The 25603-nt window shown below is 38.1% G+C and overlaps 1 protein-coding gene across 15 annotated transcripts in view, besides 1 other annotated feature; it reads right to left on the bottom strand.

Moving 5' to 3' along the window:
• KLHL32 (kelch like family member 32) overlaps positions 1-25603 on the bottom strand; it is a 242671-nt gene that overhangs the window by 171962 nt on the left and 45106 nt on the right. For all 15 annotated transcript variants that reach the window (NR_136580.2, NR_104421.2, NM_001323258.2 and 12 more), the window contains one exon: positions 1709-1796. Coding sequence is in view for 12 of the 15 variants with exons in the window: in NM_001323258.2 (NP_001310187.1) it covers positions 1709-1731 (23 nt within the window). In the remaining 3 variants the exon portion in view is untranslated. The remainder of the gene's footprint in view (positions 1-1708; positions 1797-25603) is intronic.
• Positions 15772-15972: a silencer, noted in NCBI's record as "peak5970 fragment used in MPRA reporter construct". NCBI's record gives its function as "represses an SCP1 promoter by STARR-seq MPRAs in K562 erythroleukemia cells {active_cell/tissue: K562}" and the evidence as "EXISTENCE:reporter gene assay evidence [ECO:0000049][PMID:32103011]".

The following is a 25603-nucleotide window of genomic DNA, read 5'->3' as shown; positions in this document are numbered from 1 at the left end:
GGGTCTCAATGAAGTCGGAGGCAAACAGAGCTTTTCAGGACAAGGAGATGATACAGCAGAGCATGTGGTTGTGTTGTGACACTTCCACATGGCACAGTGGGAGAGTCTGAGAGGTGGGGAAGGGAGGGCTCTGGGTTGAAGCAGAGAAGGAGAGAACATCATAGAGATTACTGCACTGTGGAAGACAGTTGATTAATAAGAACGGGATGGCAGACTTAAAAGTAAAAAATTATTTTAAGTATGCACACTGATCCTGGTAGCCAGAAATAAATAACTTGGCTGAGGTGGTGACAGACAGACACCATGGTCTCCATGTGCTGTATTGGTTGGATGCCAGGTCTAGAGCAGGGTTTCTCAGCCTCAGTATTATTGACATTTTGGGCTAGATGTTTTTTTTTTTGTTTTTGTTTTTGTTTTTTGTTTTTTGTTTTTTGCTGTAGGGGGCTGCCCTATGCATTGCAAGATGTTTAAAATGATTCCTGGCCTCTACCCAGTAGATGCCAAATGTATCCACAATCCCCGTGACATCCAAAAACATTGTCAGATATTGCACAACGTACACTGGTGGCAAAACCATCCACCATTGAGAATCACTGATTGAGAGCAACAGACTCACATAGGGAGTGCAGAGGCGTTACACCTGCTACAGCAATGTCACCAGTTCTCAACACATTTCTGGAACAAATCACCTCTAATAGCTTCAGAGTCATGGAAAGAAGCTGGTCTCATTACTTAACAGACACCCAATTCTTAAGAAAAATGTATTCCCCAGGTTTGTCATCTCTCTTATTCTTTGCTCTGAAGATATTTTGACTGTTCCCTCAGAGGATGATGCAGATTTACCTCCAGTGAGACTATTCAAATGAATGCCATGCATTTTCTCATTGGCTGCCCCTCAGTTTCTGGAATGTGCCAAGCTCCTTCCTGCCTCAGGGCATGCCCCCCTTCAAATCTCAGGTATACAGCCTTTCTCAGGAAGGCATTTTCTTGCTCTATCTATCCTGTACTTTTCCTTCAGAGCACTTTCACAATTATTTTTGTGTCGTTACTGGTGTGCTTATTTGTTTAATGTCTGTTTTCGCCATAGAATATACATTTTAAGAGGGAAGGAACCTTATCTGTTTTATTCATAGCTGGGTCCTCAGCACCAAGCAGAGTGTTTGGCTTAATTAATATCTATTAAATAAATGAATTATTAAAAGGAAATGTTGTGAGCATTTTGAGAATAAGCATTGTACTCCCCAAAGTGATTGCCTTAGAGAGGGCTCTCCCTCTCTCTCTCTCTCTCTCTCATTCTCTATCCCTATCTCTCTCTCTATATATATATACACATCTCTCTATATATACACATCTATATATATATATACACACACACATATATATGTATAGTTTTTTGATTCCTTTTTTATGTGATATACCTTTATACTAGCATACCTCATGTTTGAGGGAAGTTAGCATCCTAAATAAGAAAAAAAGATTAAAAAATAGTATCATTCAAAGAATCAGGAAACATATTTAGGTTTGACAAATAAGTAGGTCACAGCAGTTAGTCCTTGTGCCACCACAGTAAATTCACAAAAGCTCTGACTAGTTTGATGATTCCTTCAAATATGCATTAAGCCCCTGCTTTGTGCTTGATCCTAGAACGTGCAATGCACTTATTTCAGGGCTCACTACGGCATGTGAGGACATATCCTACAGGGCATACCTGAGGCAGCGTTCAGACGGCATTTTCCAGCTGGGTTCCTCAGGTTCTCAGCCTTAGAAGTGTGCAGAGGAATCAGCAAGCATTCCAGCTGAATAAAAAGACAAGAGAAAAGGGTGCATTGAGCTAAATGCAGAAAAGCACACTCTGGGTCTTCCTGATGCTAAAGTTTCTGAATTCCAGGGAGACAGCTTGGAGAGCTTTACTGTCCACATAAAACGTTCTGACACAATGCTCCTTTAACAAACAAGTAATTGTTCTGGATATTTTTAAGTGTTTTCACATTATTGAAGCTTCAAGGACTAGGAAGTAAAATATGTTTGAGAATCAACAATAGTAATTAAGTGTTGAAGTAAAAATTAAAACAAGAGATGGAATGGCCAAAGGAAAGAAATTAAGATTGGATAAAATAAAGACACAATGATCTAAACCACAAATACTAGTTGACTTGTCATTTATAGAGATTTTATTTTCCTTCCAAATATGATTAGTGGAATTAAATTAAAATCAAGTACCTCATGGCTAAGTGTCTACAGAAATATAATTTTCCATTCAAGAGCAGATTTCTGAAAAGTAGGTGGAAAAAATAACATAGAGAGAGAATAAAAATCAGTAGGAAATGAAAAATGGATTCTTATAGGGGCTTCAATATTGCATGATTGAAATATATAACAGGATGCAGTTGTCAGGCTTGAAATTGCTCCTTGGCTATTCAAGCACATTTATTCATTTAGTCCCTGCCCCCATCCCGTGTCTTTGTTTTTAATCACTGGAGTAACTCTGACTAGAAAAATAAATTATTTGAATAGTCTGGGTCCTGGTCCATGACTACACTTTACAACCCTCAGTAGAGGGTCTAGCTCCCATTTTCTAATACACCCAAGTGGCTAAATTAATTATAATCTGGATAAGCTAAATAGGCTTCCTTCTGTCTCAATTTTATTTTGGAAAGCAATAACAGGAGGAAAGTGCTTATGAAAGGAATATGTTAAGCTGTGCCTATTTCTGATGATTTGTATAAAAGAGAGAGCTATGATTTACAATCTGAGTGAAATATAATATTTGTTATATTGTGTACAAACCCTCAATTGGTATGACTGCATACTTCATATAGTATATCATAGTTGGTTAAGTATTCCATTTTATTGAACATTAGGTTGTTGAGTTGCTTTGAACATTTTTCACACAACTATATTTTTATTTCTTATTTTCTTTTTTTAATTATTAAAAATAGTATGTCTCTACTTCCATTTATTTCTAACTTAAGTCTGGACAAACCTAAAAGTGAGTGTCATTTTTTAATTGCTCCATTATGACTGAGCAGCACGGGCAGTCAGAATAATTCAAGGCACGTTGTTTAAGTAGCCAAGGGACTTGCTTAGCAACCTAATGTTGCTACAGTGTCCTTTCAGAATCTAGGTTATAAACTCATCTTTTGTAGCCTAACACAAACTCCAACAGGCATGGACACTTGAGCTTTAAAACTGCAAAGAATATTGATTACTATAGGGAGTTGTAACACCTTAATCTTTCTGAAAGTCCAGTGTTTTTAAAACACTCCCAACAACTGAATGGAGAGCAAAAATCCTAAAGTTAAAATAATCTCAAATTAAATGGCATCTAACTAATAAGTCTAACTTGATATGCTTCATTTCAAACATGATCATTAAAAATAATAAGATAGATGAAATTCTCTTTTACAGACATTTATCGTTTGGAGACCAACTCACTAAATCAGGTGTTTTCTAAAATTGTTGAATCATAATCCGCTATATACTACAAAGCTTAGGGGAATGGACACCATTTTAAACGTGAATTAACTAGGTGCCCACCAGTGGTAGACTGAATTTAAAAAATATGGTTCATATATACCATGGAATACTATGTATTAATAGCTGTAAAAAAGAAGAAAATCTTGTCCTTTGCAGCAATATGGATGCAACTGCAGGCCATTATGCAAAACGAATTAATGCAGGAACAGAAAAACAAATAACACATGTTCTTCTCACTTCTAAGTGAGTTAAGCATTGAGTATCCCTAGGCATAAAGATAGGAAACACAAACATTGGGGACAACTAGAAGGGGACTGGGGGCATGGGCTAAAAAACTCCATTGCTCGTTACCTGGGTGATGGGATCATCCGTATCCCAAACCTCAGCATCATGCAATATACCCATGTAACAAACTTACACATGTACATGCTAAATCCAAAATAAAAGTTGAAATTATTTTTTTCAAAAGGTGAGTTAAAATGAGTTAAGGATTAATCACCACTGGAAAAGGTTTGTTATATTTACTATTTTTACTACATATTATTTACTATTTATTATTCCCTATATCCTCCATATATTTATATACTTGATTAAAATGTATATATTGAATTAAAATTTGCTAGCAAACACATTTGTTTTTGTTTTTGTTTTGTTTTTCTGTTGAGACAGGGTTTCGCTCTGTCGCCCAGGCTGGACTGCAGTGGGGCGATCTCGGCTCACTGCAAGCTCCGCCTCCCGGGTTCACGCCATTCTCCTGCCTCAGCCTCCTGAGTAGCTGGGACTACAGGCGCCGGCCAACACGCCCTGCTAATTTTTTGTATTTTAAGTAGAGACGGGGTTTCACCGTGTTAGCCAGGATGGTCTCGATCTCCTGACCTTGTGATCCACCCATCTGGGCGTGCCAAAGCGCTGCCATTACAGGCATGAGCCACTGCGCCCGACCATATATTTGTTTTTATAAAAAGTTTCTCTCACCATAAATAGAGTGAACAACATGGCTACTTGTAAGCTCCAGGCAGACACTTCTTCTCCCTCTTCCCACCTCCTTGCACTTTTTCCCATGCCTCGCACATGGATTAACCCAAGGCTGTTTTCCCCTACAGCCCAGGGAAATCCAGGCCAGTCTCCTGCAGTTCCCCTCCTCAGAATCCAGAAATAATCAGAGCTGAGCCAGCTGAGTGGAGCATTAGGAAGCAGAGCAATATGAAAAAAGGCCAGAGTTGCTCTCCAGGTAGCCAGCATTTAGGGCTGCTCACACACTCTCAAGAGATAGAACTGCATTTATCACAAACCCCAGGGGAGTGCTATGTGGGGCTGGAAGCAAATGAGGTGGCTCTTTTTCTGTCACTTAAGAGTGATCACCTTTGAGATCTCTTTCAACTGTGATCATCTACAATCTTCTGAGCCATTGGCATGACAAAGATTCTCTTCCAGACCAAACCCTAGTCAGGCTCCTCTGAGCTCTTTTTCAAGTAGGCCCTGTCCTTGGGCATGACCTCAGGAGCTTTGTGGTCAACCACTGAATAATGGCAATATTATTTTGGTGAACAGAGAATTTATTGATTTTACTGAACATTTAAAGACAAGGAATGTATAAAAATAGTTAATAAAACATGTTAAAATTTTAAGTATCCATCAGCCTCTCAGTTCAGCTTAATGAACCCGGGAAGGAGGAAGGGATTTGCCTCTATTGCATAACTACTATAAAAAAGCAAGGCAGGGAGGGTACCAGAATAGCCACCCCAAAATATGCCTCCTCAGCACAGGGATCATTTTGACCTAAAAGCCATTGAGAACCAGCAGATGCAGGAGTAGCTCTAAACACAGGGTACCGTTTTCCTTTTGTAAAGAAAATTTACATTTATAAAGAACATTTTCATAATTTCTTTTTGTAAATGAAGTTCTCTTCCTCTCCTGGAACAGGAAGAGGAGGACTCCTAACTCTTATCAATGGAGAAGGTACTGACTTCAATCTGCACAACAAACCTTACTCAACAATTCTTGTTTACAGTACTTTTCCCAGTCATCTTTCTGTAACTTGTCTTTCCCATCCAGAAGCCCCAAACCCCTTTTCCTTTGATAATCCTAGGATCGTATATAAGGCCAAGTTCTAACCACTCCTTTGGGTTAGTCATCACTGGGTGCCCCCACATGTATCTGTGATGAACATGGAAATAAATTTCTGTTTGTTTTTCTCTTGCTAATCTGTCTTTGGTGGTCTAACATATGGAGGCCCTGCTGAAAAATCTAAGATAGAGGAAAAAAGATTTTTCCCCCTCCCCTACAACAGGCATAGTGGTTTTCATTTAACAGTGTAAAAGTTCAGCTACTGTAGTAACTTCTCAAAGTGAGTAATGACCCCCAAAAGACTAGTACCACAAATTTCAGTCTTTGTGATGAAAAATACAACCAAATAAATCCAGCTTGCAAACAAAAATAAAACACACATTTTACAAAATGAAGCTGTTTGCACATATCAATATGCAGCTAGGCTAGGGTAGTTTCTTACCTTTCCCAAGACTCAGTTTCTTCATTTTCTAAAAATACAGATAATATCACCTTATCACAGGGGGCTGTATAGTGTATGTAGTGTACCTAGTGCAAAGGCTGACACATCACAGGGTCTCAGTAAACATCATTGTGTGTCTTCTTTTATTATAGAATACAAATATGAATCATGTAGTGATTTGCTCCAGTGACAGGTATCTCTGTGAATTTTTTCTTTTGTTTCACTTTTTGCTAATGTAGTTCATATGCCAAATACTAGTGTTTTTAATACCAAGAATGTGTATAGCAGCAATCCTTCAAGGACTGTTCTCAAGACAACTTTACAGCTGGTGAAGACTCAGACCCCCGTCTCCAAGCTCTCCAGAGGAAGCTGGGCATTAACCCCCAGAAACACAGCAAAAATTTCTTAAAATACAGCAATTTTTTCACATAATTGAAATTATTTACCATCCTCACCCTTAGGAAATATTCATTAGTGGAACGTTCTCCATTTCTGGTAAGTCTCTTTTCAAATATAATCTGGTACATAGGATTGATGGGGTCTAACCTCTTAATAGTCTTTATTTTTATTAAAATGTTTCAAAGTTGCTAGAGTCTCACTTGGGTTTTTTTGAAGTCAAACCTGAAAATATATTTACACAGACAAAATAAATATCTTATTAAACCATAATAGTGAGCAAGTGAAACATGATTAAGCCTTCCAAACTAGCTGGCTAGCTTTTAATTACTTACTTCTAGTTGATCTTAAAACTGCCACTGGCAAGTTATATGACCGAAAAATACATAACTAAACTCCCACTAGTTACCTTATGGGTAACGTCTCTGACTATGGGTCACGGTAGTAACGGTGCTTATAGTTATTTTTCAGAAACTAGGGGGCAGCTTTTGTCTAGTTCAAGCCAGTTGAGACCTTCAACTTCACAAGTTGGTTGCACAGGTTGGGCCTGCAACAGCTGCCTGAAGAGGGACCTTTTTGATATCAGAGAGCCAAAAACTCCATTATCACATTATGCTAGTGCCACCATTTTCTGCACATATATCCTATGAAGAACCATACAGCTCAATTACCCTTGTGCAGAAGCCCTAATTACCTCACCTTTCCGACTCACCAATCATCTTTCCCTATACTTTAGACCACCCCACTTTCTATCACATACATACCTCCAAGCCCTATTTTCAGAGAGGTAGATCTGAGATTTATTTCCCTGGCCCTGCACATTGCAGCCTTGTGAATAAAGTCTTTTCTTTTTTGCAAAAACTGTCACCACAGTGATTAGCTTGCTGCATACAGGCAGAACGAGCCCAGCCAGTAACAAAAGGGGTAGGAAAAAAGTAAGTGTCCTATAGGTCTTGATGACATACAAAGAAAGAAGGACCAGACAAGGTAAGTTAGTTTAATATAATCAATAAACATAAGATACCAAAAATTAAGCTACCTTAATTATGTGGATGCATACCAATCCTACCAACATATAAGAGACTGGTGAAGAACTCAACTCTGACCTTTTTCTTCTACTGCCCAAATTCCTATCTAAGGGGTCTGGGGAGTCATGCCCTACAAACCAAAAAATCTCATCCAAGGGGTTTTATTTAACCCTATATAATGTGGCTGACTTTCCAACCTGACTCTGGCATAATATCACATGGCAGATAAAGAAGGAAATCAAAATATTTTAACCCCAAATATGTCTTCTTTGCTATGTCTTGAAATAGTCCTCCAAAGCTCACTCTTGTGGGGAAAATCTACATTCTGAAGAGAATCCCCTTCCTTGTCCTTCATTTTTTTCCTGATCCAGGAGACAACTGACTTACAATCTATTCTTTCCGAAGCCTCTACCTGGGGATTACTTCTGTATAATGAGAACATTGGTCTCCACAACCCCTTACCTTAACCCAGACATTCCTTTCTGTTGATTCTAGGTCTTTAGACAATAATTAAACTCTTTCAACCAAATGCCAATCAGAAAATCTTTGAATCTACCTATGACCCAGAAGCCCCCGCTTCCAGCTGTCATACCCTTCTGGACCAAACCAATGTACATCTTACATGATTGACTGATGCCTTATGTCTCCCTAAAATGTATAAAACCAAACTGTATCCTGAACACCTTGGGCACATGTTCTCAGGATCTCCTGAGGGCTGTGTCAGGGGCCCTCACTCATATTTGGCTCAGAATAAATCCCTTCAAAATATTTTACAGAATTTGACTCTTTTTGCCAACACTGGTTTATTCATGCTATTATCACATATTTGTTTGATAATGTTTTAGTGTAATACTCCAATAATACCTTATAATTTTTAAAGAGAAAAACAAACAGAAGTTTATTAACATGTTCAACATAAATACATGTGGGAGCCCCTAGTTATGAGTAACTCAAAGGAGTGGTTAGAACTTGGCCTTACATACGATCTTAGGATAATCAAAGGTAAAGGGGTTTTGGGCTTCTAGATGGGAAAGACAAGTTATGGGAAGATGACCAGGAAAAGTACGGTAAACGAGAATTGTTCAGTAAGAATAGGGAAAATGCTAGTCCTCCTCTTCCTGCACAGGTCATCATGTGAGTGGCAGTGCAGGCCTTTCTCAGTGTCGTGTTAAAAGGAAACGATGGTGATGACAATGATGATAATGATGAAGATGATAAAACCTTAATTAAACATGTAATAAGTGTGCAGCACAGTGCTAACTTCTCCCTAGCTTATTTACTACCCCTATTCTGTATGGATCTGGATAATAAGGCATAATGAGGTCAAGGAATTTACTGAAAGACACACAAGTAATAAATAGTGAAATCAGGCTTCAAATCCAACAGAGCCCATACCCTTAACCACACCTAACAGTAAAAAAGGGAACTATTCTAGGACACAGTCATACCCTGAAGTGCTAAAGAGACCAAAGACCAACAGTACAAAGGAAGTTTCCAATAATCTAAGATGCACACAGACTATGTAAGGTAATACCTCTGTCACTGGAAGTGAAAAATAGGACCATAAGACACTTGGCATTGTTCTGAAGATGATTCAAATGCTCCTAGGCCTTCCTGATCCATAGAAACCAAAGGCCAAGGATCAGAACCTGCAACCACCGCATGCTAGTGTCTCCCAAGGAGGCCCTGATGTGAGCTGAATTGTGTCCCCCCACAATTCATGTCTTGAAGCTTCCAATACCTCAGTATGTGACTGTGTTGGAGATTTGGGCTTTAAAGAGGTAATCAAAGTTAAAAGGTTACTGGGTGGGCTCTAATTCAAAATGATTGGCATCCTTCTAAGAAGAGATTAAAACACATGCAAATACAAATGAAAGACCGCGTGAGGACACAGGGAGAAGGCAGCAACTGTAAGCCAAAGAGAGAGGCCTCAGAAGAAACCAACCCTGTTAACACCTTGATCTCAGACTTGTAGCCTCCAGAATTGTGAGAAAATAAATTTGTGTTGTTCAAGTCACCCAGTCTGTGGTACTTTGTTATGGCAGCCCTTTGCCAGTCTCTTCCATGCTACTGTGGCTCAGAAGCTGTCCCGGGCCTGCAGACCACACTACCTCCAGGTCTGGGATGGTCTGTGCTCTGCTCAGACAAAGCTGGACCACAGGCATGCTGAGGAATCCATGACGTTGGAGGCCTCCTGGGGCCTGAGACAGTGGCCTCTCCACTACTGTCCTCTTGGAGCATCTGGCCCCCAGCTTTCAATTTTCCAATCAGCGCTCATCTTTCTCTAGGTGCTAAACCCCACCACTCTTGGAGGAAATTTTCTCTGGGAAGTTGCTTTCAACACCCAGGCATATAATTTGCTTGTTTTACCAGAACACTCCCTTCCAGCTTTCATAAGTACTGTGGGGGTCCAAGCAGAGAGGGATGAGGGTCCAAAGTGTAGACGCACAGCCATATGCTTGAAGCACCATCACCTCCCAACACTCCATCCCTGAGGCCAAGCTGTGTGTGCACCTGCATGCCTTCTGCATAACTTAGGGTGATTTTTTTTTCCTTGGCACTCCTTCTACCCAGCTACCTTCCATGGGTAACCCACTAGTCTGTCAGATATGACCCTTTCTGAATTCTTTCCAATGGGTGGGGAAACATTGCCTAGCTCCACGTGCTGAGAGATGTGAAGATCCAGTTCTAGCCAAGATAACTGGATACATGATGATCAAATGAATACAGGCAATAGCTCTTGGCCCACTTGATCGTCTCACTGCCCTACTTAAAGCTGTTGAGATAAAGTCAAACTTCTTAAATTAGTACCCCTTCCAACACTACCAGCCTTGTGTTTTACCACTTGATCCTTCTTCTTCTGGTTACAGTCATACAGACATACTCATCAACACTCAATTGTTCTCTCCCCTCAGGGTACCAGTAACTGCCATCTTCACTGTTTAGAACTTTCTACCCCTCCTTTTTGCCTGGTTAACCCCTATTCATCCTGCAGGTTTCAGATGTCACCTCCTCTGGGAAGCCCTCCCTGATCCTCCCAGGTCACAGTTAATTACTCTCCTATATGATCCAATAGCACCTATAGATCCCCACTCACAGCATAATCAGCACTCTATATAATTACTTGTTGGGGTGGGGGGTCTACTGCCCTAGTTTCATTTCTACCTGTAACCCTTCCCTAGACAATAAGTTCTTTAAGTGAGGTGATCATTCATTCTGGAATGGTTATGTTTTGCATATTGTCCCAGTGCAATTTACTAATCACATCCCATTTGTTCTCTTTTGTTTCCCAGTTTGGATGATAAATTATCTGGTCATCCTGTCTATATGGGCAGGATCCACATCTATCTTGCTCACTGTTTTAAATCCTCATGGACTACCATTATTCTTACAAAATCCTCCAAAGCAGATAAAGTAAAAGTACAATGTATTCTGTTTTAAAAATGAGGAGCATGACAGATTATTTGCATATATTGAATCATGATGTTTTAGTTTGTATTACGAAATTCATTCCCTAAAATAATGTTACATTAAATAATAAAAGTTTCTTTATATAAGAATAAGGATAAGGTATCTAGTCACCCTCATGAATACAGCTGGAGACCTTGGGAACCAAATTAAAATATAATGTGTAAGTTCTTCCAGTCACATTAGCACATGCCTTTTCAGCTCTTATTTTAATTTAATTTTTAGCTCCATCACTCCTCTATGAATAGAAACATAAAATGCATGGATCAGTTACACAGTCTTGTCAAAATAACCTAACCTGCAATTATAACATCCTGAGGTGCTTTTTAAAAATATTGCTATGAAAATTTTTTTATTAAGGAATTTCTTAAAGCTTTCACACCAGTTAAAATTAAAATAAATTATTCATCTTCATCTTTATAGATGACACAATGTAGATCTTGAGTGTTTTGCTAGTACAGAAATTATTTGTATGATAAATAACATATTACTTTATAATATGACAAAATGAACATTCTACATATATGTAATTATTTTAATTAGAAAGTCCTGTAATAAAAAGTTCTTAATCCAATAGCAAATGACCATTCTCCAGTGATTAATTTTTGCCTTTTAGCAAATAGAAAATATGAGATTTAGAGTTCCCAAATTTATGATCTAGATGTAATCCAGACTCCATTTTCAAATAGAGAAATGCTCTTACTTTTGAATTTTAATATATAGACTGTTCATTCATCAAATATGTGCTAAGCGCTTAATACATTTCCATTAATCATTGAACTAGATATCAGGAGTGACATAAAAAGATTAAAAATAGTCTGTGTCTTCAAAGAGCTTATAATCTTTGGCATAAATCAAAAAGCTTATAATCAAAGGCATAACATCCACATTTGCAGTTACCCTAACAGTATAAGACATTCTGCATTTTCTTCTATTGAGAGAGGTACAAATTTTCCTCATTTATAATGTCTAAAATTGGAGGTGTATTTTAAATCACTATATACCTTAATGTGCTACTATTTTTTTGCCTTGAAAAACCTGATGTGCTTCTTACATCTGCAAGAAACATTAGAACTGGGGAAACACTGTTGTTCAAGTGCCTACATATGGGCTAGGCGTATGTATGTACATGTGCTAATACACTTAATTCTTACAACAATCGAACATTATAAGAATTAAATGAGCTTTTTTCCCAGAAGAAAAAGGAGAGGCTCAGCAAGCTGAAATGCTTAAGGTAAAACTGGTAGCTGCTGAAGCTGAGACTCAAACCCAGCTCTTACATTCTGCTGCACCACTTTATCCTACCAAAGGAGAGGCATGTGGGTTAGAATACTGAGTAAAGACCAAGTAGGGGAGCACTAAAGGATGGAGAGAAAGGAGAAAGCTTTCCAAATGAGAAGCACAACACACTCAAAGATATGGAGACCTCCAAGCTACAGTTTTGTAAAATGAGAAACCTGTACTACATGGAGATGCAGCATAGTATACAGGTAAGAAGAGTGGGTTCTGGAAGAAGACTGTTGGAGGAAGAGGTTTATATTCTGGCTCCAATAGTGCTTATGTGACCTTCATGAAGTTACTACATTTCTCCACATCTCAATTTCCTAATTAGTAAAAGGGGCATAAAAATGAAACTTTCTGATATGGTTTGGCTGTTTCCCCACCCAAATCTCATCTTGAATTCCCAAGTGTTGTGGGAAGGACCCAGTGAGAGGTAACTGAATCATGGGGGCAGGTCTTTCTCATGCTGTTCTCGTGATAGTGAATAAGTCTCATGAGATTTGATGGTTTTAAAAAGGGGAGATTCCCAGCACAAGCTCTCTTTGCTTGTCTGCCACCATATGAGACGTGCCTTTCACCTTCCAGTATGATTGTGAGGCCTCACCAGCCACATGACATGGAACTGTAAGTCCAATAAACATCCGTCTTTTGTAAATTGCCCAGACTTGGGTATATTTTTTGTTGTTATTGTTGTTTGAGATGGAGTCTTGCTCTGTTGCTCAGATTGGAGTGCAGTGGTGCAATCTTGGCTCACTGCAACCTCTGCCTCCCAGGTTCAAGCAATTCTCCTGCCTCAGCCTCCTGAGTAGCTGGGATTACAGGCACCCACCACCACGCCCAGCTAATTTTTATATTTTTAGTAGAGACGGGGTTTCACCATGTTGGCCTAGCTGGTCTCGAACTCCTGACCTCAGATGATCTGCCTGCCTCAGCCTCCCAAAGTGCTGGGATTACAGGCATGAGCCACCGTGCCTGGCCTCGGGTATGTCTTTATCAGCAGTGTGAAAATGGACTAATACACTTACCAAAAGTTAAAAGTGGCAGATTGAACACATATCCATTCAAATGTTTGCACTGAATGCAACTCACACCCTGATTTAAGGAAACATTAATTTAAAATATTTTTTTCATCTTTCTCTTGAGGAAATAACCTCACTGAAACTATAGTAAAGAGATGAAAAAACAACAATAAACCCCCAAGATCAAAGAGAACAAGAGAAGAAATTAAAAACATAAAACTTATTGAAGATAGAGAACAGAACAGTTGGATGCATAATAACTGACTCAGCAGGAGACAAGAAAGGCAAATTCCAACCTGGCAATGGGCAATTCAAAGAAAAAACTCAATTTGCATCAAGGAATATATATCCAAAAGACTCAGGAACCAATGGTATGAGTATGAGGTTCATGCTGTGGACTGAATGTGTCTCCCCCAAAATTCAAGTGTTCAAACTCTTATATCCAATGTGATGGTACTGGGAGGTGGAGCCTTTGGGAGGTAATTGGGTAATGACAGTGGCGCACTCATGATGGGATCAATGCTATTATAAGAAGAGACAAAACAGAGCTTGCTTCCTCTCTCGTTTCTCCACAATGTGATGGTCATCTGTAAACTAGGAAGCAGGTCTTCCCCAGACATTGAATCTGGCAGCATCTTGATCTTTGACTTTCCAGGCTTCAGAATTGTGAGAAATATACTTGTTGTTTAAGCTACCCAGTCTATGGTAGTTTGTTATTGTTATAACAGCCCAAGCTGGCTAAGACAGTTGACAATAGAGAAACTAGGAGAAAAAAATCTATTTAAAAAGCAGTTTGAACTCTTAGGTCCCTTCCCCTAATCTGCACTACATGGTTACTGTCCGTCTCATCCCAGTGACAGAATGGATATTTGCTCTCTGGAGAAAATAAAAGTATCTCTAGACTGGGGAATGCCACGTTCAGTAGAGGGTAGAGGTGCCATCTGAAAAACAAAGAGAGGGAAAGTTTACACAGAAAATGTGGAGCCCCTAAGCTTTCATGTTCCATTCAACTTCCAGAATGCCAGCAGCTAGGTTTATATAATCCAGGGAAATTAGAAGATTACTCTCTGGGGAATATAACTAAGCCAACACCAAACCTAAGAAGTCTGACATCATAGGTTTCCCAAATAAATGGCTCAACCAGATCACTTTATGGGGTAATCGCTGCATAACAAGCCTGCCCATGTGCTCAGAGCTTCCAGCCAGTTTTTTTTCTCTTTAATATGAGTGAATATCTAAGCATCACCAAAATTTTGAAAAGAAAAGAGAATTATCTAAGCAAAAAAAAAAAAAAAAAAAAATTGAAGGAAAGAAAACTAAAACAATTTTTTCCACTGTAGTCTTCCATATCCAAACAAATTATCATTTTTTTAAAGTCTAAAAATAGAATAAAGATGTTTCCAGACTTGCAAATTACAAGCAATTATCTCCCAGGCATTGTTTCCCAGGAAGTTATTAGAGGATGTTTTCCACCTAAACAAGGGAGTACATATTGAGAAAAGGAAGACATGTGATTCAGGAGACCAAGGATTCAACACAAGAAAGAGATGATAGGAATTCTCAGGTGATAGTGAAGGAAGTTCCCAAACTACAATTATTAAAAACAGGCAAACTAGAGGAGTTCAGAAAGATCCAGAGAGACTTTGACCAGAAGGTGAAACAGAAAACCTAATGTGGTTTCTATCAATTTACAGCTAGAGGAGAGTTTGAGGATTGAATTGTTGATAACAATATAAAAACATAAGCAAAAAAAAAAAAAGACAACTATTAATGAAAAACAAAAGTAGTGCAGGAAAGGAAAAGTAATCATGGTTTGATTATATAAATAACATTTAGATTGTCATAACCATATAAAAATGAAATAATGATCCAACCAAAGTATCAGTGTAACTAATTGAGAGAATGGAGGGATGGGAAGCCTGTATGTATGATGGCGTGATTTTAGGGAATGAATGAAGAAAGCTAAATTTTCTTTTTTTTTTTTGAGATGGAGTCTCACTCTGTCACCCAGGCTGGAGTACAGTGGTACAATCTCGGCTCACTGCAACCTCCACCTCCCAGGTTCAAGCAATTCTCCTGCCTCAGCCTCCTGAGTAGCTTGGATTACAGTTATGTGCCACCACACCCGGCTAATTTTTGTATTTTTAGTACAAACAGGGTTTCGCCATGTTGGTCAAGCTGGTCTTGAACTCCAGGCCTCAAGTGATCCTCCTGCCTTAGCCTACCAAAGTGCTGGTATTACAGGCATGAGCCAACAAGCTTGGCAAGAAACCTAAATTTTCATCTTTTTTCATGGGAAACCAATCAACTCAAACATCAAAAACCAAGACTGGCAACATAAGCATGTTACTGAGAAATATGGACGTAAATAAAGTAAGTTCTCACATACATTATTGATAGATTCTTGGAAACAATGTATAATGAATCAAATTTGTAATCATCTGATGGGGTCTTCTTGCCTGCTGCACAGACAAAACTAATTCACCAAGACAGCAGTCTTGTGGTAGAGAAAGAGTTTAATTAATGTAGAGCTAGCCAAGTGAGAGGACAGGAGTTTATTACTCAAATCAGCCTCCCCAGGAACTCAGAGGCTAGGGTTTTTATGGTAAGTTAGCAGGCAGGGGACCAGGGAATGGGTGCTGCTGATTGATTGGGGATGAACTCACAGGGTTGTGGTAAACAATCCTTATGTGCTGGGACAGCCTCTGGGTGGGGGCCATAGGCCTGGCTGAGTCATAAGTCATGGGTCCTGGTGGAGTCAATTGGTCACCAGAATACAAAGGTCTGAAAAACATCTCAAAAGACCAACCTTAGGTTCTACAATAGTGATGTTATCTATGGGAACAACTGGGGAAGTCACAAATCTTGTGATCACCTTGTGATGATACATTTACTACAGTGCAGTAAATGATTATAGAAAGGCAAGCTATGCTCACCTCTTTACAGAATTCAGGCCCCTCTCACAATCCTAATCTTGTGGCCTTTCATTAGTCTTACAAAAGGTAGTTTCAGTCCCTGAACAAGGAAGCGTCAGTTTTAGGGAGTAGCTATTATGATTCTTGCTTCAAAGTTAGACTTTAGCTAAATTCCTCCCATGGTTAGCTGGGCCTACACCTAGGAATAAGTGAGTCCAGCCAGCCTGTGAGGCTAGAAGCAAGATGGAGTCAGCCATCACAAATTTCTCTTGCTGTCATATTCTTTACAAAGGCAGTTTCAATTTTACCATAGGCTAATTCATAAAAACAAGAGTTAAGTTCCTATGGCATATTTCTGGTCACAAAAAGTCACCAAACTTCTTTTAAAAAATGCCCAAAACACTTCTAATATTAAACAATGAAATTAATATGAGCTATACATACATTTAAGAAACATTAATAAAAACAAGTAAGATAATTATTTACCCAATTATTCCAGTTCAAGGTCTTGGGTGGCTGAAGCCCATCCTAGCAGCTCAGGGCAAAAGGCGGGAACCCATCCTGGACAGGATGCCATCCCATCACAGGGTGCACTCACACACACTCACACTCACTCACTCTGGGACAATGTAGACACACCAGTGAACCGAATGTGCACATTTTTAGGATGTGGGGGGAATCCAAAGTACCTGGAAAAAACCCATGCAGACATGGGGAGAATGTGCAAACTTCACACAGACAGTGGTCCCAGCTGGGAATCAATTTTTTTCTCTGATTGACCTTGTAATGAAATGGCATTGAACAAAACAACGCTACTCCAGGACCTGCTGCTATCTAAAGAAACAGCTAAAATAATTGAAAGCAGTTGCCTCTTCTATACTTCCACATAACAAGCCTTGTGGATTATTTGACTCTTTATATAACACTGGTAAAAATAAAAGCTAAATTTAAAAAATATATAAAACTTATCTCACAAGGTATACAACTTAATTAGCTAAATTATAACTAATGCGATTTATGAGACAGACAATTAAATGAGACAATCCAAAGTACATACCAGTTTTGGTATGCATATTGCTCAATATTAATAGTGAGCAATTAATATTGTCTTGATGATGATGGTAAGATGATGGTAGTGATGGCAAACTCTAAGGTATCAGTAACTACCTTACCAGCGATGGTTAAGGTACAGGGTGTGGGGTGGCGCACTGTCCAACATGCCCCACATGGCCCAGCCCTCTTTGGAAACTATTTAAAATAGACCTAGAAACAACATACTGCTCACCTGACTCTGAGTATTAGTCGCAAACTTTCCTCCTGCTGCTGTCCCCTTATAGTACCCAACTTCTAGCCACAGACACTAGGTAAATGCAGCCCAAATTCATAATACTCCAGGAACAAGGTGTATAGGGCTGTTGACATCTCCTCTCATGCAAACAGCTCAGTTTGTTTCCTTTGCCTGAACCCAAGCTGGTCCTGGCTTCTTCCCTGTCCTACTCAGCCTGTTGAAGTCTCCCTTATCATCAAACCGAGACCATGTGAGTCTGACCCATGTATATTTTTCCATTATTAATAATAAAATTTTAAATATCATGTTTTAAATTTCTATTTAACCACTTTATGTTTAGATCAGGTCACAGTTCTAACCTAACTTACAAAACATTCAGAATTACACGTTTTGTGAGAAGTACTTTTTTTTTGTTCAAACTGAGTAATTTGTATTACAAGGCTTTCTTGAGTTTAAGAAATCAATGACAGCTATATGCACATGTCTACCCCCAAAATTGCATTTTCTCACTATCATCTCATGGGCTCTCAGATATAAGAATGTCTTCTGTTGTGGAATCAAAGTAGAACAAGAGTCATATGTGAAATGCCCTTGTCTTGTTACTAATATCAATGTCTATGGCAAAGAGGACAACCCTCAGCTATTCAACTGGTTATGTTAATTGGTGTGACGAACATGCTAATTCTCTCAGATAAAATATTTGGTTTTCCATGAAAATACATCTGGCCAGGTTGAATAACAAAGAATTTACTGTAACTAGTCGTTCACTAACCATTCACTCATTCACTCATTCACTCACTCACTCAACTCATTCAATATTTAAATAGCACTTACCATACACCAGGAATGCATGTAAAGGAGTAAGATTAAAATGATTTTGTAAAGCAAAGTGTCTGGGTTTTTTTTTTTTAACGTGACAACTGATAAAAGCTATCACTTAGAGCATAATTTTCCTTTTTAAAAAGAGATGTAAGGTAGAAGAAAGAACGTGGGCATGAGGTGAAGTTCCTTCAGCTGGGTTGAGCTTCATGTTAACTGACATCTTAACTATGAATTATAGGGGCAGGGATCACATCCCACTCTTCTCTTTGCTAGAATGAGCTATGTTCCTAGAACACTTACTAATAAATGTATTGTTTAGACATTGTTCTTGTTTAGAGAGCTAATGGTTTTTTTTTTTAACACAAATGTAGAAATTTCAGACACCTCCAAAAACACTTGCCTCTGTCATTAAAAATGTGCTTCTAAGTCTTTTACAGAATATGCACATAATTTTAACAACTTTGAGATATCAAAACTCAAAAGAAATCAAAATTTCATTTTAATTTTTAAATTAATATCACTTTAAAATCTTGGCTTTGAAAAATACACTGTGGCTCTGTTTTAAGACAATATTACATTGTCCTGCTTTTTACAGAGTAACTGAACAGCAAGATAAGGCACTTTGAAAATATAATGAGCACTCAAAACACTAGCCATAATTTTACTATTAAAAAAGAAAAAACAATATTGATTTAAGTAAAAAATTTTTAAGTCAGTAAATTTAATTCCAGTTATTAGTGGCAAACCATTTACCTACTGAATTTCCCTTCCTTAGTTTTACTACTACTAAATACCTTTGTGAAATATTAAAATTTAGGAGGGGAAAAAAAGAGAGAAAAGTTCTGCTTTCGGAATCACAGTACCAATTACACTATGAATATTTAAACAATGCAAAATCATTAATCTCACCAGGGAACTCTGAAGATATGATCTTATGAAAGTAAATGAGAGATGTCATTAATAATCTGTATTATTAATGTGAGTCAGTCAAATGGACTCACCACTGTGAGTCAGTCAAATGGAAAATATTCACAATTTTTACAAAAATAAAAATGAGATTATCAAATACTAACTCAGTCAACATTACACAAAAAGATGGTGGCAAGTCTACATCTGTGGAAAGAAAGGCTGGTCGGGGTAGATGGTGGCAACATTAGAAATGAACCCAGAGACACTGGATCTGGGTAAATGAACAATGATAACAAGTGTGAACAAATGTGAAGGATGGCAAAAAGAATTGCATGAAGAGAAAACTGACTAACTAGAATATCAGAGCTGGAGCTATGGAGACTCAATTTAAATGAAGTAAAATGCATGAGGATTTTAGAAAGACTCATCCATTTGAAAAGTTATTAATTCCTACTATGTGCCATTACCTTTAGAAGACACAGTTTAAAACAAGACATGCAATGTCCCTATTTTCACAGAACTTACATTCTAAGAAGAATAAACAGTAAATAGACAAACAAGAAAACACTGGATAACAATGGCTGCTAAAATGCACAAAACATCGTGATGTGATTGAGTCAACAGGTGTTTACTGTGTTGTCAGGGAAAGCCTCTGAAGAAATGAAATTAATCTAAAATCTTACTTATGCAAATATCAAAATAATAAAAAAGATTCTAAAGTCGGAGATAAGAAAGTTTTCTACATTATGTTTTGTAATTTCAGAAATGTTTGAATTGCTACATGACTTTTTCGCATGAGTCAGAAAAAGAGGAGGAGAGTGGAGTATGTTTTCTTGGCTCAGTCAATAGGCTTGGGTGAGCTCGACAAGTGGGAGGATAAATCTGAGAGAGAATTGCATTGGGGAGGTGGAGGGGAAAAAGGCTGTCAAATCCATCACAGTGACTGAAGTTAAATCCCTCCTTCATCAATCCTAATTTTCCTAATGCACAAAATCTATGATCACATAATGTTGTTTTTTAAAAAAGTGTATTCTCTAACCAAGATATTATTACCCTTTGTGATATCCTGTACTTAAAACTGCTAAATACTATTAGTGAAAATAAAACCATCATGTTTATTTCATGAAGAAACAGACCCAAAGTATATCCTATGATTTCAATAATTATGTATCACACACAAAAAAAGAGACTTGCCCACATAAGGACACACCTACATCACAAAATTTTTCTGTAGGTCTCAGGAATCATCTGATGTCTTGGTTGAATTTTTTTTCTCCACATTATTAAAAACAAAAATATTTGGTCTCTCTGGAGAAATGTCTAGGAATACCAACTATGATGATCTACCAAGCAGAGGATATGAACCAACCTCAAGTTTGACGTACAAGGTGAAATAACTTTCCCAAGATCACCAATCTAATAAGTGGTAGAACCAGGATTAGAATCCAGGTAAGTCTGACTAAAATTCACACCGCTCATTGTACATTGTGCTGCGTCTAGCATTAGTAACACGGAATAGCTAGACTTCAGGGATTTTCCAGAGAGCAAAAACTCTCACAATTGCCCAGTAACTTCTAAGTAACCTACAATAGACAATTTTCTGAAAAATGTTCATTTCTCTTCTGGATCCTCTAAAATCTAGCCTTGGATTCCAGAAAGGCATCTAGCCAAACCAAACATTTAGGAGCATCATACAATTCATTTCTTTATGCCAAGACCAGAAAGAAGTCCCTCTCAAGGATTCTCTGAAAAGGACACTGTGTAGTATCCTTTTGACATAAGATAAGGGTGCAAACTTTGTAATCAAACTGCCTAGGTTTAAATCCCCAGCCACTACCAGTGTGACTCTGGACAAGTACTTAATTCCTCTCTGCCTCAGTTTCTTCATTCTATAAAATATGATTAATATAATACTACTTACCTCACAGCATGTTTATAAGAGTTTAATGAGTCAATATAATTACTAAGAACAATGCAAAGAGCATAAAATCCGTGAAAGTGTTAGTTTTAATCATTATTATGCCAGAGTACAAAAGGCAATATACCTTCCCATCTGTACTCCCAAATTACCATCTCTGTATATATTGAGGTATGCCATTAATAAAAGCATCAGAGAAGAGATGTGATAACCCTGTAAAGATGCTTGTAAGACATTGCTCATGACATTAATCACACAGTGTCCTTTTCATGAGAATCCTTGAGAGGGATTTATTTTTGGTCTTAGTATAAAGAAATAAATTGTATCGATGTTCCTAACATGTGGTTGTGTCTTATTTATGTTAAAATAAAAACTTTAGACAAATTAAATATAACAGTTTATTTGAGCAATGAACAATTCATGAATTGGGCATCACTTGGAACCAGAGGAGGTTCAGAGAACTCAGCTGTGCAGCGTGAGCTTCAGGCTTACACAGGTTGAATGCAGAAGCAAAACTAAGAAATTACTTGATTGGCTACAGTTAGGTGTTTGCCTTATTTGGATATGATTGGTGGAAAGTCCCCAGTTAGTGGTTAGTTGATGATTTCAGCTGGTTATGTTTGTTTCATTTTACTATTAACACTGGTTTCATTTACTTAGGTAGGAACCCAAGGTGCTGGAGCCGTCTCAGCCTAATGGCCTCCCAGATAAATTTCTTTTAACATTTACAAATGCTTTAAATCAAGAAAGTAATCAAGCTGCTTTTTTCACAATGACTACTAAGGAAGTTTAGAATTAAATATGTGCCCACTGTTAATAAGTATATAGAACCCAATATTTTTCTACAATTCACAGCTCATTTTATGGCCGTTCCCTTTGTTTTTCTTTTACCATCATTTCTCATTTGTTAACCCTTACACTTTTTTCCCCCTAAGTAACCAGAGTATAAAACAATCAGCCAATCCAGAGGAATAGTAAAGGGAAAGATGGGAATATAAGAGCTGTTATCTCATTAGGATCTACCTTAGGTCTAGTTGGAGCAGGATTGGCAAAAATGGCAAAAACATAAGATGAAAATTACAAATTCAGAAGTGGCCTGCCACTACCGTGCTTTCTCCCATACTTGTCCAATTATCAATATTATAAAATAATTATCCAGGCCCTTGTTCCTCACTACCTATTTCTCACAAAACAATTACAATAATTCCTAGCTCATAGCAGTGAAGTGACAGATTCTTGACTTAAGAATCAACAAGTAATTATTTAGTGGTCACCATATCCAGGCACTTCTAGGTTCTTGGGACATATCAGTGAACAGAACAGACAAAATGCCTGCCCTGTGGAGCTAACTGTCTACACAAGAAGACAGACAAACAATAAACATGGCAAATAAGTAAGTGATATGGTGTGCCACGAGATAATAAGTGCTTTAAAAAACTGAGCACCACAAATGGGATCCAGATGAAGGATTCACGTTAAAAAATTCTTTTACCAGAAACTGAAAATAGATATTATATATCTATTCTTAATGGTTAGATTGGTCTAAAAGGAGATATCACTTAAAACAAAATATTTAAAATATTTTTTTCCTAAATAAACTCATATTTTGAATATCTAAAAGCTTACTAATCCTGTTGATACTTCTTTGGTAAAGTGAATATTTTTCCATGAAACAAGATGAATCTCATCTTATCATTCATGTAAACCCTTATATCCCAGCCATTTAAGTAAAAGCTAAGACCCCAGAAAAAGTTAAAAACCATCCTTGTCTGGCCTTATACCCCACACCCATAACTGCAGAAACTTTAACTACACAATGAAGACCAGCTCCTCAGTTCCAGGGTTTGTCTCACTAACTCTCAAAACCATAATCACCCTGTCAGCCTCCACATTCTCATTATTCCACACTGTACAACAATGCCAGCCTCTGAATCTACTGATGTAGACACCAACGGGGCCCAGGTTCATGCCAAAAGCACTGAACATGGCTCTAAAGCCTGTGACTCCCCCGGGAAGCTACCACCCACTTCTCTGAAGAAGACACTGCCCAAGAATGCCATTTCCTACAATGACCAAAATTTTAAGTGCCAGTGCTGCCCAAGTCACCAATGTTGTGCACTCAGGATCCCATAGGGGTTTCAGTAAAACAATGCTTAAAATTTTTTTTCCTACCCTTTTTAAAGCACCCCTCTCTTTCTAGGACTTGGTCTTGAGTCTGAGTAGGCTTGGGTGAAGGGACAATTGAGTGGTAGGCACTGTGCTGCACTTGGAAATTAAACTTTTGCTCTGACGCTGGCCCACTGGGCTAGAACTAAGTGTGTGCACCTTTATTCTCTCCACAAGGTCTGTGATCTCTGAAAGGGCCTGCCCCACAGGCATGCCCCAGTCTTAGGGTACAGGCTGGGATTTCTGCTCTAAGGGAGTTGGATGTGGTTTTGCAACTCTTCAAAAGAAGCATGGTTTTGAGTTATGTGGCATCATGGTAAGCAACAGACAGTGTTAGCATTATCCCTGCCATGCACTATCCACAATTAGCATAAAGGGCTGGCACAGCCATGTGCTAGGATTAAATGATGATGTTTAAAAACAACAATAAATAAAAATTAAGTAATGGAAGCTGCATCCAACCTCTCAAGGAAATGCTTCCCAAATTAAAACAAAAATATTTTAAGTAGTTTATAACAAGAGACCTAGAAATTCAGCACAGCACATTGGAATTATCTCATAAATGGCAGAACTCATACACTTTAATCATCTATAAAAATAAAGAGTTGTCAACGTCATGTTATATTCTTAGAATTATAAATTTAAGAGTAAAGACGATCATTCTTCCAATAAAGAAAAGCTCTTGTAAGTCCATGAAAAGCTCTTTTCCTTCCTAAGACTGTTTATTCTTCGATGAAGAATAGATTCAGAAGATTCCACCAAAGAAGACAGTATTTCTTTTATTTTCCCAAGTACAGCAAGGCTATGGTGTACAGTTTACTGTCACTTCACAGATTTGGAAAGTGTTGTGAAGTCACCAACAAATCTCGTCTTCTAACCTCACAACTTATTACTCATGCAACTTGAACAAGTAATATAGCCTTTCTGAGCCAACATTTATTTCTCCATTAAGACAGAGGTAAACCTACATCCCCCACAATACTTTTAAGACTAAATGACATGATGAGTTGGCAAGTACTTCCTGAACTATGAAGTACAATATGAATATATAGCATCATCAAACTCATAAAACCCATATGGCAGATGGGGCCATTGTAGTAGAATATTAAGTTATTAAGTTATGTTAATGACTTGAGAAATCTAATAAAACTAATTTGTTCCCCACAAACAGCATTCCTTAGAACCATATTATGTAGGTCTATTGTAAAGAAACTTAAAAACAACTGTTTAAACTAGAGGAAGTCCATCATCCTTGCATAGCATTTTAAGCCAGAATATCTGAATAAAACAAGAACAAATATTTTATTCTTGCCTAGGCTCTTTTAGATAGTGCCTTTTATTCTGATACCTTGAATTCATGCATGCCTCATAGGTAACATTTTAAATTATTTAAACACCAGTTAATATTACTGGTGTCAGCATGATCAGTAATTACCGTCTTAATAATCACAGGCATCTAATTCCAGTTGCTCCCATCTTTGATATAACGATGAGCAACAGCCTGGAGGACAAGAACTGACAGGGAACGAATACAGCTGGGGGTCAAATTAATGCTGGTGGTGAACTAGCTTTCAGTGAGAGGCACATGCTGAAAAATGAGACCACAGGTTGAGAAGGAATTAATGTCCTGAGAGTTTTGTACAAAATAAAATATTTTCTGAACATGAGAACAGCTTTTGAATCTAGATCTGAAGAAGCTGGCTAAATAAATCATACCTCCAACAACCTTCTTTTCAGTAATTATAAAAAGAATGCATCTGCACACTCGTTCCCCTGCCAGATATGACTTTTCCCTTCCCCAGATGGCTGGGGCAAGTGTCTGTGCATATGGCAAAAGAAAAAAGCAGGAAGCTCGAAGTGTTTAACTGGAAAAGGAAGCAGTGAAGGCTTATGAAATGTGTTTGTGCGAGGCACTACAGGGGCCGCAAAGCCAAAGAAGAGCAACCAGTAAAGACAAGACCTCGGAGACCTGGGTCCTGGTCCCGGCTCTGCTACTAAGGGTTTCACTGGCCAAGCCAGTTTGTTTCCCTGGGCTTCTGCTTTCTCATACAAAATGTGGAGGAATCCAATTAAATCAGTTTGTGGGATTTACAGCTGATGTGAAGTTATCCAACATTGGGGGTCAGCAGTAATAAGTAAAACAGGTGTCAGCCTGTGTGTGGGTGAGAAATCTCCTTGGTAGAACAGTATAAGGTTTTTTTTTTTTTTTTACTTCTTCTTGGAAATAGAAGTAAATATCATATTACCGCACAGGTCTTGTGTGAATGACACCAAGAGACCAACCCTTTAAGAGCTGGTTCTAGAGGAATATGAACTCTGCATTTACCATAAGCCAAATCCATTTTGAGGAAAAGAATAATGGCCCTATCACAGTCCTTTACCCCAGGATAGGTGGTTAGAATGTATG

The sequence above is a fragment of the Homo sapiens genome, chromosome 6 (assembly GCF_000001405.40).
Source record: "Homo sapiens chromosome 6, GRCh38.p14 Primary Assembly".
Taxonomy (NCBI): Eukaryota; Metazoa; Chordata; class Mammalia; order Primates; family Hominidae; genus Homo; species Homo sapiens.
Note: the sequence above shows the minus strand (reverse complement) of the source record. Positions and strands in the feature narration are given on the sequence as shown.